At 40.5% G+C, this 13,907-nt stretch overlaps 1 long non-coding RNA gene across 7 annotated transcripts in view, besides 2 other annotated features; it reads right to left on the reverse strand.

Annotated features, from left to right (window-relative positions):
• The window catches only part of ARL14EP-DT (ARL14EP divergent transcript), a 279,977-nt gene that overhangs the window by 3,124 nt on the left and 262,946 nt on the right, over positions 1-13,907 (reverse strand). The gene's annotated exons all lie outside the window — the stretch shown is intronic.
• Positions 10,073-10,776: an enhancer, noted in NCBI's record as "H3K27ac-H3K4me1 hESC enhancer chr11:30077713-30078416 (GRCh37/hg19 assembly coordinates)". NCBI's record gives its function as "activates a minimal SCP1, AML or CMV promoter by ChIP-STARR-seq in naive H9 embryonic stem cells {active_cell/tissue: H9 hESC(naive)}" and the evidence as "EXISTENCE:reporter gene assay evidence [ECO:0000049][PMID:30033119]".
• Positions 10,777-11,478: an enhancer, noted in NCBI's record as "H3K27ac-H3K4me1 hESC enhancer chr11:30078417-30079118 (GRCh37/hg19 assembly coordinates)". NCBI's record gives its function as "activates a minimal SCP1, AML or CMV promoter by ChIP-STARR-seq in naive H9 embryonic stem cells {active_cell/tissue: H9 hESC(naive)}" and the evidence as "EXISTENCE:reporter gene assay evidence [ECO:0000049][PMID:30033119]".

The raw sequence follows: 13,907 nt of genomic DNA on the forward strand, positions 1-13,907 counted from the left end.
TATCACAACTCGCCCCTCCCTTTATCAGCAGCTGCAGCTGTGCTGACAGTTGGCACAAGGGCAAGGTGACCACATGTTAATTGAGTGGCTGATGGCAGCCATACGGACTGTTTGGAATGATGCTGCAGAGATAATAGAAATTGTGAGTAAATGGCAATCATATACTGATTTGGTGCAGGTACTCCAGGAGATGGGTATGTGGCAGGCTATGTTTGATCTGAATACCCAGGGGCTGAATGATGAACATTTTACCTCCCACATGAGGGATCTTGTGCTGGGCTCAGCGCCCCTGAGTGCTTTTGGCTCTCTAGCTGCTGTTCACTCCGTATGTGGGGTGCCACATACATGAAGTGACTACTGCTATGGCAGCCCTCAGGGAAGCAGAAGGCCTTTGGCAGGACTGGGGAACCCATGCGATAAAGAAGGGGAAGGTGTCCCCTCTGCAGGTAACCACCCCAGGAGATCAACAGGGGCCCCAGCGGGTGACCCATGTGCAGATGTGGATTGATTTAATTGCAGCTGGGGTTGCTTGGGAGAAAACTGACAGGCAACCCAATGGGATGCCGTTGGCTCTGTGGAGGCAACTGTCCGCAGAGCAGCAATTCCAGAAAATGTCCGAAAGGGGGCAAAATACTCTTGATCAACCCAGCCCCACCCAGATGCTGTACTCAAGGACTGTTTGCTGACGGCCAAAGAGACCAGACCCTTCCTTTGACAGGGAACTGGCCAAGGTGCCCAGCAGAGGCCACGTGTGGAACTGGCAATCCATTGGCCTCCCACCAATGTACAGTGGGTCCTAGCACTGGTAGATAGTGGTGCAGACTGCAGCTTTGTTTATGGAAATCCGGGTAAGTTTCCGGGCAAAGCTGCATTCATTGATGGTTATGGGGGCCAGTTGGTGAAAGTGAAACCTGTGTCTCTGCATCTTAGCAATGGCCACTTGGCTCCGTGCCTGTATACTGTGTATGTTTCTCCTTTACCTGAACATATTCCGGGGGTGGACATTTTGCATGGTCTGGACTTACACACCAGGGCCGGAGAATTCGGACTCGGTTTGGGTAGTAAAGCCAGTACTGCGTGGACATACCCGTTACCAGTCCCATGTCTTATATAATCATAGCCATGTAGACATAACATGGAGAAGCTCACCGTCTGGCTCTCAGCCACTATTGTTTGTGTGGTGTATAAATGTAACACTGACCCTGTGAAGGGGATGCTGAATCAAGCCATGTCTCATTTACCTACTGTCTCTTGCGTGTTCTTCCAGCTCCCTGCGCCACATACACCCACTTCCCTCGGCCCTTAGCTGGGGCTGGAACCTGACCCTTAGCATGATGTTTGGTGTAGTCGTGAACCTGACAATGATGAAATTTGTTTAAAAAAATTACTTACTAAAAGAACTTAGGCATGATATTTCATGGGTAAATTTTTGTAAAGCTTAAAGAAATAATTTTTATACTTTTCCAGAATTTCCCTCAATTTTTTAAAATAAAGCCAAAAGCATACAAATAACTAAATATAAAATATTTAGCATAGAAAAATAAAACTACAAGCTTACTCACTTATGAATAGTAATGCCAGTTTTTATATATATAAGACCTTAAAAGAATAATACATTATAACCAAGTGTGTTTCATCCCTGAAAGTCAAAGGTGTGTCTATATTAGGACATTATGGTAGAGATAACCAGCTGTCCACTAAGAATTCTTGTCCCATTATCTGTGGTATATTATTTGCTGCTGGAAATCAGCTACCCAAACTGAAACTACATTTCCCAGCTATTCTTGCAACTGGATGTGGCTATATGATTACATTTTAGCCAGTAGAATGTAAGCAAAACTAGCATCTTCAACGTACATCTTGCAAAGAACTGCTGCATGCCCTTATTCCCTTTGAAGTGGTTGGAATAGAAATGATACCAAGATCTTGGAGCTATTTTTTATCTTCAACTTTTATTTTAAGTTTAGGGGTCATGTGCAGGATGTGCAGGTTTGTTACATACGTAAACATGTGCCATGGTGGACTGCTGCACAAATCATCCCATCACCTAGGTATTAAGCCCAGCAACCATTAGCTATTTTTCCTGATGCTCTTCCTCCCTCCAACCACCCCGCCAACAAGCCCCAGTGTGTGTTGTTCCCCCCATGTGTCCATGTATTCTCGTCATTCAGCTCCCACTTATAAATGAGAACATGGGGTGTTTGGTTTTCCGTTCCTGTGTTAGTTTGCTGAAGACAACAGGAGCTATATTTCAAAGATGGTAGAGACTGTCAGTCTGGGTCTCTGAATGATTATGTGGAGGAAGACTGCCTTGTTAACCTACTCATCTCTAATTCTGTCTCAACAATAAACTTTTGAATGGTTGTGCTATTTGATTCTGTTTGTTGTAGAAGTTAGCCTACCCTAATACATGTCTATTAATATAAATCATCCAGATGACAAGAAAAAAGACAGAATTATTATTAACACATTTAATAAAAGCATTTGATAAAATTCAAATTCTCATCTCTGGTGTCAATTATTTTTGAGGTCCGAAAGCATCGCTGACTTTCTTGCAACTGGGTGTCCATTCTCTATTTCTAAACCTTCTAATGACTTTCCCTTTTTTGCTTAAACTTACCTGACCTACCTGCTGTTACTTGATATAATGATGCAAATAACAAAAGCCAAAAAAAAAAAAAACCCACAAAACCCCAAAATGCACTAGGTTTTAAAGATTAACATTTTTTTCTGCTTTTTTTCTTTATCAGAAAAAAAAGCATAGTCATCATGAGCAAGAATAATTTTGATTTTCTTCTAAGTAAGCAGAACACCTTCCTTCTTTAATCCCAAAATGGTACAGGGTAAATTTATTATTTTGCTAGCACTTACAAGAAAAAGGACCTATCACGGTTCTGCCTCATAATATAAAATAATATCACCTATTCTATGACCCAGTGGCAAGAAATTGGCTTTGGTGATGAATTGGCATATGTTGGTTTAATGCAGTCAGTCATCCAACAAGATCAGTAAATGAACCAAATGTCGTTTCTCTCAGGTAAAAGAATCCACAGCACGGGCAACATCTTTGGCAGATATTGTAGCCCTTCTTCTTTATCTAGGCTTTCTGTAGTGTTATATAATGTTCTGTAACTTTTAATGAACACGCCTTAACAGACAAAAGCTTCTTCTGCTTACAACTGTAAATTGATACAAACTTATTATCTTCCATGAAAGCCATTGTGGGTTCACAGCAGCCTTCTACTTGGAAATAATTCCTGTTTCAGAAATTACAAAACTTGCAGAAGAGCAGAGGAAACACCATTCTGTTCTTATAGAGTGACCCCTATTGGAAGGCTTTACAAGTAAACAAGGGTAGACATGATACTGAGAAATAGAGTTAATATTATTTAAAATATATGATTACTATGACCATTCTTTTTGCTACAAATGCTTTGAATTCCTTCTGGGATCCTGGCTTTTCCCTTATAGATTACAGTTATTCCCTGACTTGACGTGATTTCTGTATTAATCAGGTACTTTTGAAAGCAAGTGACAGAAGCCCAACTCAAAATAGTTTAAGGAAAAAAGTGGAGGAGGTAATTTATATTGGCTAATGTACATAAGAAATTCAGGAGATTATAAAACTTAAAATAGGCTGGATTCAGAGACTCAATGTCTTCACTTTTTAGATAAGTTCTCATGTGGTGGCAAAAATGACAACTGTCAATTCTAGGCGTAAGTCATACTTAGAGCCAGAGATCCTACTGAAAAGTTCTTTCCTGAACTTTCGAAGCAGTGACCTATGTCTTGTTGTCATCTTTGAACCAGTGACTGTCTTGAGCAGATACAATGCTCTGATTGGTCAGGCCCTGTGGGACATATCTCTTTAAGTCTTAGTAATGCATATTGTAAAATTCTCTTTGAGCAATCGATTCCTATTTGTGGGACTTTTTTTTTTTTTGACTGCTGAAGAAAAGAAGAATGAGCTTTAGTCATTGAGTAGTTCTTTCTTCTGTTCAAAGCTTGCTGAACAATGACTAAACAGAAGTGGGATCACTGCTCCATTGACATCATGCCCCAATCCATTAAGCTAGTCAGTCCAGAGAGTCAGCAATAATTATGATTCAGATCAACTACAGAAAGATACCAAGAAGGAAGAAAAGGGGAGAGGGGGAGAAAGAGAAAGAGAGGGACTGAGGAAAGGAGAAAGGAAGGAAAGAATGGAGGGATGGAGGAAATCAGTATATATTACTTGTCAGATTCTCAGCCCACAACATCAGGCATGCAAGAAATTTCACATTAAAATTTATTTTCAGTCAACCTAATACTGACTGTGGTCCCCAGCTTCCTGGGTTGAAAGGTGATCTAACCTGTTATTGTTGCAGCATTCCCCACCCTTTACCCCAGAGTTGTGTAAAACACCAGGATCAAAATAGCACTAAGACTTTGGAGAGGCCCATCTGGTGATCACTCATCCATACTGATGCCAGTTCAGACACCCGTGATCATCTCAGTTCACATGGTCACTTCAGGAGAAGTTGCTCTGCTGCTTTCCTGTGAGGCTTGAGGCATGTGACCTTTAGGCAGGGCGGGGAGACCTAGGAGATGGCAGCCATTTCTCTCTTAGATCTCGACATCATTGCAACATAATCCCTGAGCACAGGTATCCTCTCTTCTAAGAAGGCATAAACTTTCCTGTTTTTCCAATTTCTTAGAAGCTTCCCTCCCTGCTCAGCTTATTTCTGATTCATGCATCTGCTCCCAACTCTCTGTGTTTCAGAATGCTAGCATAATCTTTCATGGCCTTAAAATCCTGAAAAAAAATAAAGCTCAACAGAACAGAAAGAGAATTATCAAAGCTTCTGCTTTCTATGGAATACATTACAAACATTCCAGAGGCAAGAAATTACAAAGCATAGCTGTGACTTTAAAATGAGGGGGAAGGTAAATGTGGGAGACAAAAAATCACAATTTAATATTTCCTGCTAGATTGCTAGCCTCATACCAGTGGAAGAAAGAGAAGATGGAAAAGAAGAACAAGAGGCTAAGTTCTGCACGTTTAAGTAAATTACCAGTAAGTGGCAAAACCTGGGTATTTTTCTTTTTTTTTCTTTTTTTTTTTCTTTTTTTAATTTTTTTTTATTATTATACTTTAAGTTTTAGGGTACATGTGCACATTGTGCAGGTTAGTTACATACATATACATGTGCCATGCTGGTACGCTGCACCCACTAACTTGTCATCTAGCATTAGGTATATCTCCCAATGCTATCCCTCCCCCCTCCCCCCACCCCACAACAGCCAGAGTGTGATGTTCCTCTTCCTGTGTCCATGTGATCTCATTGTTCAATTCCCACCTATCAGTGAGAATATGCGGTGTTTGGTTTTTTGTTCTTGCGATAGTTTACTGAGAATGATGATTTCCAATTTCATCCATGTCCCTACAAAGGACATGAACTCATCATTTTTTATGGCTGCATAGTATTCCATGGTGTATATGTGCCACATTTTCTTAATCCAGTCTATCATTGTTGGACATTTGGGTTGGTTCCAAGTCTTTGCTATTGTGAGTAGTGCTGCAATAAACATAGGTGTGCATGTGTCTTTATAGCAGCATGATTTATAGTCCTTTGGGTATATACCCAGTAATGGGATGGCTGGGTCAAATGGTATTTCTAGTTCTAGATCCCTGAGGAATCGCCACACTGACTTCCACAATGGTTGAACTAGTTTACAGTCCCACCAACAGTGTAAAAGTGTTCCTATTTCTCCACATCCTCTCCAGCACCTGTTGTTTCCTGACTTTTTAATGATTGCCATTCTAACTGGTGTGAGATGGTATCTCATTATGGTTTTGATTTGCATTTCTCTGACGGCCAGTGATGATGAGCATTTTTTCATGTGTTTTTTGGCTGCATAAATGTCTTCTTTTGAGAAGTGTCTGTTCATGTCCTTTGCCCACTTTTTGATGGGGTTGTTTGTTTTTTTCTTGTAAATTTGTTTGAGTTCATTGTAGATTCTGGATATTAGCCCTTTGTCAGATGAGTAGGTTGCAAAAATTTTCTCCCATTTTGTAGGTTGCCTGTTCACTCTGATGGTAGTTTCTTTTGCTGTGCAGAAGCTCTTTAGTTTAATTATATCCCATTTGACAATTTTGGCTTTTGTTGCCATTGCTTTTGGTGTTTTAGACATGAAGTCCTTGCCCATGCCTATGTCCTGAATGGTAATGCCTAGGTTTTCTTCTAGGGTTTTTATACTTTTAGGTCTAACGTTTAAGTCTTTAGTCCATCTTGAATTGATTTTTGTATAAGGTGTAAGGAAGGGATCCAGTTTCAGCTTTCTACATATGGCCAGCCAGTTTTCCCAGCACCATTTATTAAATAGGGAATCCTTTCCCCATTGCTTGTTTTTCTCAGGTTTGTCAAAGATCAGCTAGTTGTAGATATGCGGCGTTCTTTCTGAGGGCTCTGTTCTGTTCCATTGATCTATATCTCTGTTTTGGTACCAGTACCATGCTGTTTTGGTTACTGTGGCCTTGTAGTGTAGTTTGAAGTCAGGTAGTCTGATGCCTCCAGCTTTGTTCTTTTGGCTTAGGATTGACTTGGCGATGCGGGCTCTTTTTTGGTTCCATATGAACTTTAAAGTCGTTTTTTCCAATTGTGTGAAGAAAGGCATTGGTAGCTTGATGGGGATGGCATTGAATCTATAAATTACCTTGGGCAGTATGGCCATTTTCACGATATTGATTCTTCCTACCCATGAGCATGGAATGTTCTTCCATTTGTTTGTATCCTCTTTTATTTCCTTGAGCAGGTTTGTAGTTCTCCTTGAAGAGGTCCTTCACATCCCTTGTAAATTGGATACCTAGGTATTTTATTCTCTTTGAAGCAATTGTGAATGGGAGTTCACTCATGATTTGGCTCTCTGTTTGTCTGTTGTTGGTGTATAGGAATGCTTGTGATTTTTGCACATTGATTTTGTATCCTGAGACTTTGCTGAAGTTGCTTATCAGCTTAAGGAGATTTTGGGCTGAGACAATGGGGTTTTCTAGATATACAATCATGTCATCTGCAAACAGGGACAATTTGACTTCCTCTTTTCCTAATTGAATACCCTTTATTTCCTTCTCCTGCCTTATTGCTCTGGCCAGAACTTCCAACACTATGTTGAATAGGAGTGGTGAGAGAGGGCATCCCTGTCTTGTGCCAGTTTTCAAAGGGAATGCTTCCAGTTTTTGCCCATTCAGTATGATATTGACTGTGGGTTTGTCATAGATAGCTCTTATTATTTTGAAATATGTCCCATCAATACCTAATTTATTGAGAGTTTTTAGCATGAAGGGTTGTTGAATTTTGTCAAAGGCCTTTTCTGCATCTATTGAGATAATCATGTGGTTTTTGTCTTTGGCTCTGTTTATATGCTGGATTACATTTATTGATTTGTGTATATTGAACCAGCCTTGCATCCCAGGGATGAAGCCCACTTGATCATGGTGGATAGGCTTTTTGATGTGCTGCTGGATTCATTTTGCCCATATTTTACTGAGGATTTTTGCATCAATGTTCATCAAGGATATTGGTCTAAAATTCTCTTTTTTGGTTGTGTCTCTGCCCGGCTTCGGTATCAGAACGATGCTGGCCTCATAAAATGAGTTAGGGAGGATTTCCTCTTTTTGTATTGATTGGAATAGTTTCAGAAGGAATGGTACCATTTCCTCCTTGTACCTCTGGTAGAATTCAGCTGTGAATCCATCTGGTCCTGGACTCTTTTTGGTTGGTAAGCTATTGATTATTGCCACAATTTCAGATCCTGTTATTGGTCTATTCAGAGATTCAACTTCTTCCTGGTTTAGTCTTGGGAGAGTGTATGTGTCGAGGAATTTATCCATTTCTTCTAGATTTTCTAGTTTATTTGTGTAGAGGTGTTTGTAGTATTCTCTGATGGTAGTTTGTATTTCTGTGGGATCGGTGATGATATCCCCTTTATCATTTTTTATTGCGTCTATTTGATTCTTCTCTCTTTTTTTCTTTATTAGTCTTGCTAGCGGTCTATCAATTTTGTTGATCCTTTCAAAAAACCAGCTTCTGGATTCATTAATTTTTTGAAGGGTTTTTTGTGTCTCTATTTCCTTCGGTTCTGCTCTGATTTTAGTTATTTCTTGCCTTCTGCTACCTTTTGAATGTGTTTGCTCTTGCTTTTCTAGTTCTTTTAATTGTGATGTTAGAGTGTCAATTTTTGATCTTTCCTGCTTTCTCTTGTAGGCATTTAGTGCTATAAATTTCCCTCTACACACTGCTTTGAATGCGTCCCAGAGATTCTGGTATGTTGTGTCTTTGTTCTCCTTGGTTTCAAAGAACATCTTTATTTCTGCCTTCATTTCGTTATGTACCCAGTAGTCATTCAGGAGCAGGTTGTTCAGTTTCCATGTAGTTGAGCGGTTTTGAGTGAGATTCTTAATCCTGAGTTCTAGTTTGATTGCACTGTGGTCTGAGAGAGAGTTTGTTATAATTTCTGTTCTTTTACATTTGCTGAGGAGAGCTTTACTTCCAAGTATGTGGTCAATTTTGGAATAGGTGTGGTGTGGTGCTGAAAAAAATGTATATTCTGTTGATTTGGGGTGGAGAGTTCTGTAGATGTCTATTAGGTCCGCCTGGTGCAGAGCTGAGTTCAATTCCTGGGTATCCTTGTTGACTTTCTGTCTCGTTGATCTGTCTAATGTTGACAGTGGGGTGTTAAAGTCTCCCATTATTAATGTGTTGGAGTCTAAGTCTCTTTGTACGTCACTCAGGACTTGCTTTATGCATCTGGGTGCTCCTGTATTGGGTGCATATATATTTAGGACAGTTAGCTCTTCTTGTTGAATTGATCCCTTTAACATTATGTAATGGCCTTCTTTGTCTCTTTTGATCTTTGTTGGTTTAAAGTCTGTTTTATCAGAGACTAGGATTGCAACCCCTGCCTTTTTTTGTTTTCCATTTGCTTGGTAGATCTTCCTCCATCCTTTTATTTTGAGCCTATGTGTGTGTCTGCACGCGAGATGGGTTTCCTGAATACAGCACGCTGATGGGTCTTGACTCTTTATCCAATTTGCCAGTCTGTGTCTTTTAATTGGAGCACTTAGTCCATTTACATTTAAAGTTAATAGTGTTATGTGTGAATTTGATCCTGTCATTATGATGTTAGCTGGTTATTTTGCTTGATAGTTGATGCAGTTTCTTCCTAGTCTCGATGGTCTTTATATTTTGGCATGATTTTGCAGTGGCTGGTACCGGTTGTTCCTTTCCATGTTTAGTGCTTCCTTCAGTAGCTCTTTTAGGGCAGGCCTGGTGGTGCCAAAATCTCTCAGCATTTGCTTGTCTGTAAAGTATTTTATTTCTCCTTCACTTATGAAGCTTAGTTTGGCTGGATATGAAATTCTGGGTTGAAAATTCTTTTCTTTAAGAATGTTGAATATTGGCCCCTACTCTCTTCTGGCTTGTAGGGTTTCTGCTGAGAGATCCGCTGTTAGTCTGATGGGCTTCCCTTTGAGGGTAATCCGACCTTTCTCTCTGGCTGCCCTTAACATTTTTTCCTTCATTTCAACTTTGGTGAATCTCACAATTATGTGTCTTGGAGTTGCTCTTCTCGAGGTGTATCTTTGTGGTGTTCTCTGTATTTCCTGAATCTGAACGTTGGCCTGCCTTGCTAGATTGCAGAAGTTCTCCTGGATAATATCCTGCAGAGTGTTTTCCAACTTGGTTCCATTCTCCCCATCACTTTCAGGTATACCAATCAGACGTAGATTTGGTCTTTTCACATAGTCCCATATTTCTTGGAGGCTTTGCTCGTTTATTTTTATTCTTTTTTCTCTAAACTTCCCTTCTCGCTTCATTTCATTCATTTCATCTTCCATTGCTGATACCCTTTCTTCCAGTTGATCGCATTGGCTCCTGAGGCTTCTGCATTCTTCACGTAGTTCTCGAGCCTTGGTTTTCAGCTCCATCAGCTCCTTTAAGCACTTCTCTGTATTGGTTATTCTAGTTATACATTCTTCTAAATTTTTTTCAAAGTTTTCAACTTCTTTGCCTTTGGTTTGAATGTCCTCCCTAGCTCAGAGTAATTTGATCATCTGAAGCCTTCTTCTCTCAGCTCGTCAAAGTCATTCTCCGTCCAGCTTTGTTCCGTTGCTGGTGAGGAGCTGCGTTCCTTTGGAGGAGGAGAGGCACTCTGCTTTTTAGAGTTTCCAGTTTTTCTATTCTGTTTTTTTCCCCATCTTTGTGGTTTTATCTACTTTTGGTCTTTGATGATGGTGATGTACAGATGGGTTTTTGGTGTGGATGTCCTTTCTGTTTGTTAGTTTTCCTTCTAACAGACAGGACCCTCAGCTGCAGGTCTGTTGGAGTACCCTGCAGTGTGAGATGTCAGTGTGTCCCTGCTGGGGGGTGCCTCCCAGTTAGGCTGCTCGGGGGTCAGGAGTCAGGGACCCACTTGAGGAGGCAGTCTGCCCGTTCTCAGATCTCCAGCTGCATAGTGGGAGAACCACTGCTCTCTTCAAAGCTGTCAGACAGGGACATTTAAGTCTGCAGAGGTTACTGCTGTCTTTTTGTTTGTCTGTGCCCTGCCCCCAGAGGTGGAGCCTACAGAGGCAGGCAGGCCTCCTTGAGCTGTGGTGGGCTCCACCCAGTTCGAGCTTCCCAGCTGCTTTGTTTACCTAAGCAAGCCTGGGCAATGGTGGGCGCCCCTCCCCCAGCCTCGCTGCCGCCTTGCAGTTTGATCTCAGACTGCTGTGCTACCAATCAGCGAGACTCCGTGGGCGTAGGACCCTCCCAGCCAGGTGTGGGATATAATCTCGTGGTGCGCCGTTTTTTAAGCTGGTCGGAAAAGAGCAGTATTCGGGTGGGAGTGACCCGATTTTCCAGGTGCCATCCATCACCCCTTTCTTTGATTAGGAAAGGGAACTCCCTGACCCCTTGTGCTTCCCGAGTGAGGCAATGCCTCGCCCTGCTTCGGCTCGCACACGGTGCGCACACCCACTGACCTGCGCCCACTGTCTGGCACTCCCTAGTGAGATGAACCTGGTACCTCAGATGGAAATGGAGAAATCACCCGTCTTCTGCCTCGCTCAGGCTGGGAGCTGTAGACCGGAGCTGTTCCTATTCGGCCATCTTGGCTCCTCCCCCAAACCTGGGTATTTTTCAATCGGTGCTCTTTGCAAACCTATCCTAACCCAATACATCATTCAATTTTAAACTTAAAAAAAATTAAGGTTAAACTCCAAAGTTAAAATCCTGTTAATTTAATTACTTTTCTAGTTGTTTTATTTCAACAATTCAGTAGACTATTCCTTTAGAAATAGCTTGGATTTCTTGGAAATGTGCTTGGTTTTAAGCCCTTGATCATGTTAGCAATGTCTTTTAGACTAAAAGTTTTCATAAATTCCTATAGTATAACTTAAGATTCAAAATGGCATAGATACTAGAATGTTACAAAAAATTAGAAACATTGAAAGTAAAGTCCTTGAACTCCCATTTCTTACAGCTCCTTGATAGCAAAGTGGAATTGGGGGTCTTATTTCATTTGCAATTGTTCCAAGCTGTCTTACTCATCCCTAAGACGTCAGATACCTGAAACTAAGGCAGATGGCAGATTTCCTACCATTGAATTTGTAACAGCAAGGGATCAATATGTGAATCCTTTGCTTTTACTCTGTATGTTCAAAGACCTGTTAAAGTTCCCAGAAAGTACATGGGTTAGCTGAAGTCCAAATACAATAACAGAAAAAATTGCGCTGTGAAGAGTTGTTTAGCAACAAAGCTAAGATGGTAGGGTCATTTCTTAGCTCTTTATCATAATGGACCTTCTTGATGCCCCCAAGCACTGAATCCTAGAGCCCTTAAGACTTCCCCAAAATTTGAAAGGATTCCCTATTTAATAAATGGTGCTGGGAAAACTGGCTAGCCATATGTAGAAAGCTGAAACTGGATCCCTTCCTTACACCTCATTCAAAAATTAATTCAAAATGGATTAAAGACTTACATGTTAGACCTAAAACCATAAAAACTCTAGAAGAAAACCTAGGCAATACCGTTCAGGCATGGGCAAGGACTTCATGTCTAAAACACCAAAAGCAATGGCAACAAAAGCCAAAATTGACAAATGGGATCTAATTAAACTAAAGAGCTTCTGCACAGCAAAAGAAACCACCATCAGAGTGAACAGGCAACCTACAGTATGGGAGAAAATTTTTGCAATCTGCTCATCTGACAAAGGGCTAATATCCAGAATCTACAATGAACTCAAACATATTTACAGGAAAAAAACAAACAACCCCATCAAAAAGTGGGCAAAGGATATGAACAGACACTTCTCAAAAGAAGACATTTACGCAGCCAAAAAACACATGAAAAAATGCTCATCATCACTGGCCATCAGAGAAATGCAAATCAAAACCACAATGAGATACCATCTCACACCAGTTAGAATGGCAATTATTAAAAAGTCAGGAAACAACAGGTGCTGGAGAGGATGTGGAGAAATAGGAACACTTTTATACTGTTGGTGGGACTGTAAACTAGTTCAACCATTGTGGAAGTCAGTGTGGCGATTCCTCAGGGATCTAGAACTAGAAATACCATTTGACCCAGCCATCCCATTACTGGGTATATACCCAAAGGATTATAAATCATGCTGCTATAAAGACACATGCACACGTATGTTTATTGCGGCACTATTCACAATAGCAAAGACTTGGAACCAACCCAAATGTCCAACAAAGATAGACTGGATTAAGAAAATGTGGCACATATACATCATGGAATACTATGCAGCCACAAAAAATGATGAGTTCATGTCCTTTGTAGGGACATGGATGAAATTGGAAACCATCATTCTCAGCAAACTATCACAAGGACAAAAAACCAAACACCACATGTTCTCACTCAGAGGTGGGAATTGAACAATGAGATCACATGGACACAGGAAGGGGAACATCACACACTGGGGACTGTTTTGGGGTGGGGGGAGGGAGGAGGGATAGCATTAGGAGATATACCTAATGCTAAATGACGAGTTAATGGGTGCAGCACACCAACATAGCACATGTATACATATGTAACAAACCTGCACGTTGTACACATGTACTCTAAAACTTAAAGTATAATAATAATTTAAAAAAAAGACTTCCCCAAAATTTAGAACAGTGGAGGTTCATTTAGGTAGAGAATAATGATTCTAGAAGGGAAATTCAGGGAGTTTACAGATTATTAGGTAATATAGTTTCTGTGGGTTTCAAACATTGTTACTGAAATTCAGTGAGGTCTCATCATAGATGCACTTAACTTACTTGAATTAGATATATGCAAAAACAACTTTAAGAAAAAAATCTTAGTTGTTGGCTTTTGACTTCAAATAAGCCATATCCTGCTGGTGATTATAGGGGATTTTTAAAAGTAATTTTGGCCTTACTCAAATTTAGTCATAAGTACCAAATTTTGAATCTAATCCTCACGTAATAGGAGGCTGCTGCAGTGTTGTCAACCTGAAAATGATGGCCAGCTTTTTAGTAGGATGATGTTAAAAGGCCTGCAGCCAAGACCATTCTTTCAGGGGACTCTATGTAAGGCACTTCACCTCCAGTGAAGTGACTCTCATTTCCTCATCTGCAAAGTTGAGGTAATAATTATCACTTCCCTTCCATCATAGTAGGGTTTTTGTAATAGTCAAATCACATAACATATATGATAGTATTTGGAAAATTCCAAAATCTTACCGGAATGAAGAGGATACAGATAGCCAAGAGAGAAGCACTATAAGCAGCCAGTTAGGTAAAGTGACCCTTACTGGCATTTTAATTTCTTCACCCAGTTTTCAGTCCCAGAGAAGCTTCATTCTTTAAAATAGCTGTGTATACTCAATAAATTCAAATTGTCTCCTTACATTCTTTTATG

This window comes from Homo sapiens, chromosome 11, assembly GCF_000001405.40.
Source record: "Homo sapiens chromosome 11, GRCh38.p14 Primary Assembly".
Classification (NCBI taxonomy): domain Eukaryota; kingdom Metazoa; phylum Chordata; class Mammalia; order Primates; family Hominidae; genus Homo; species Homo sapiens.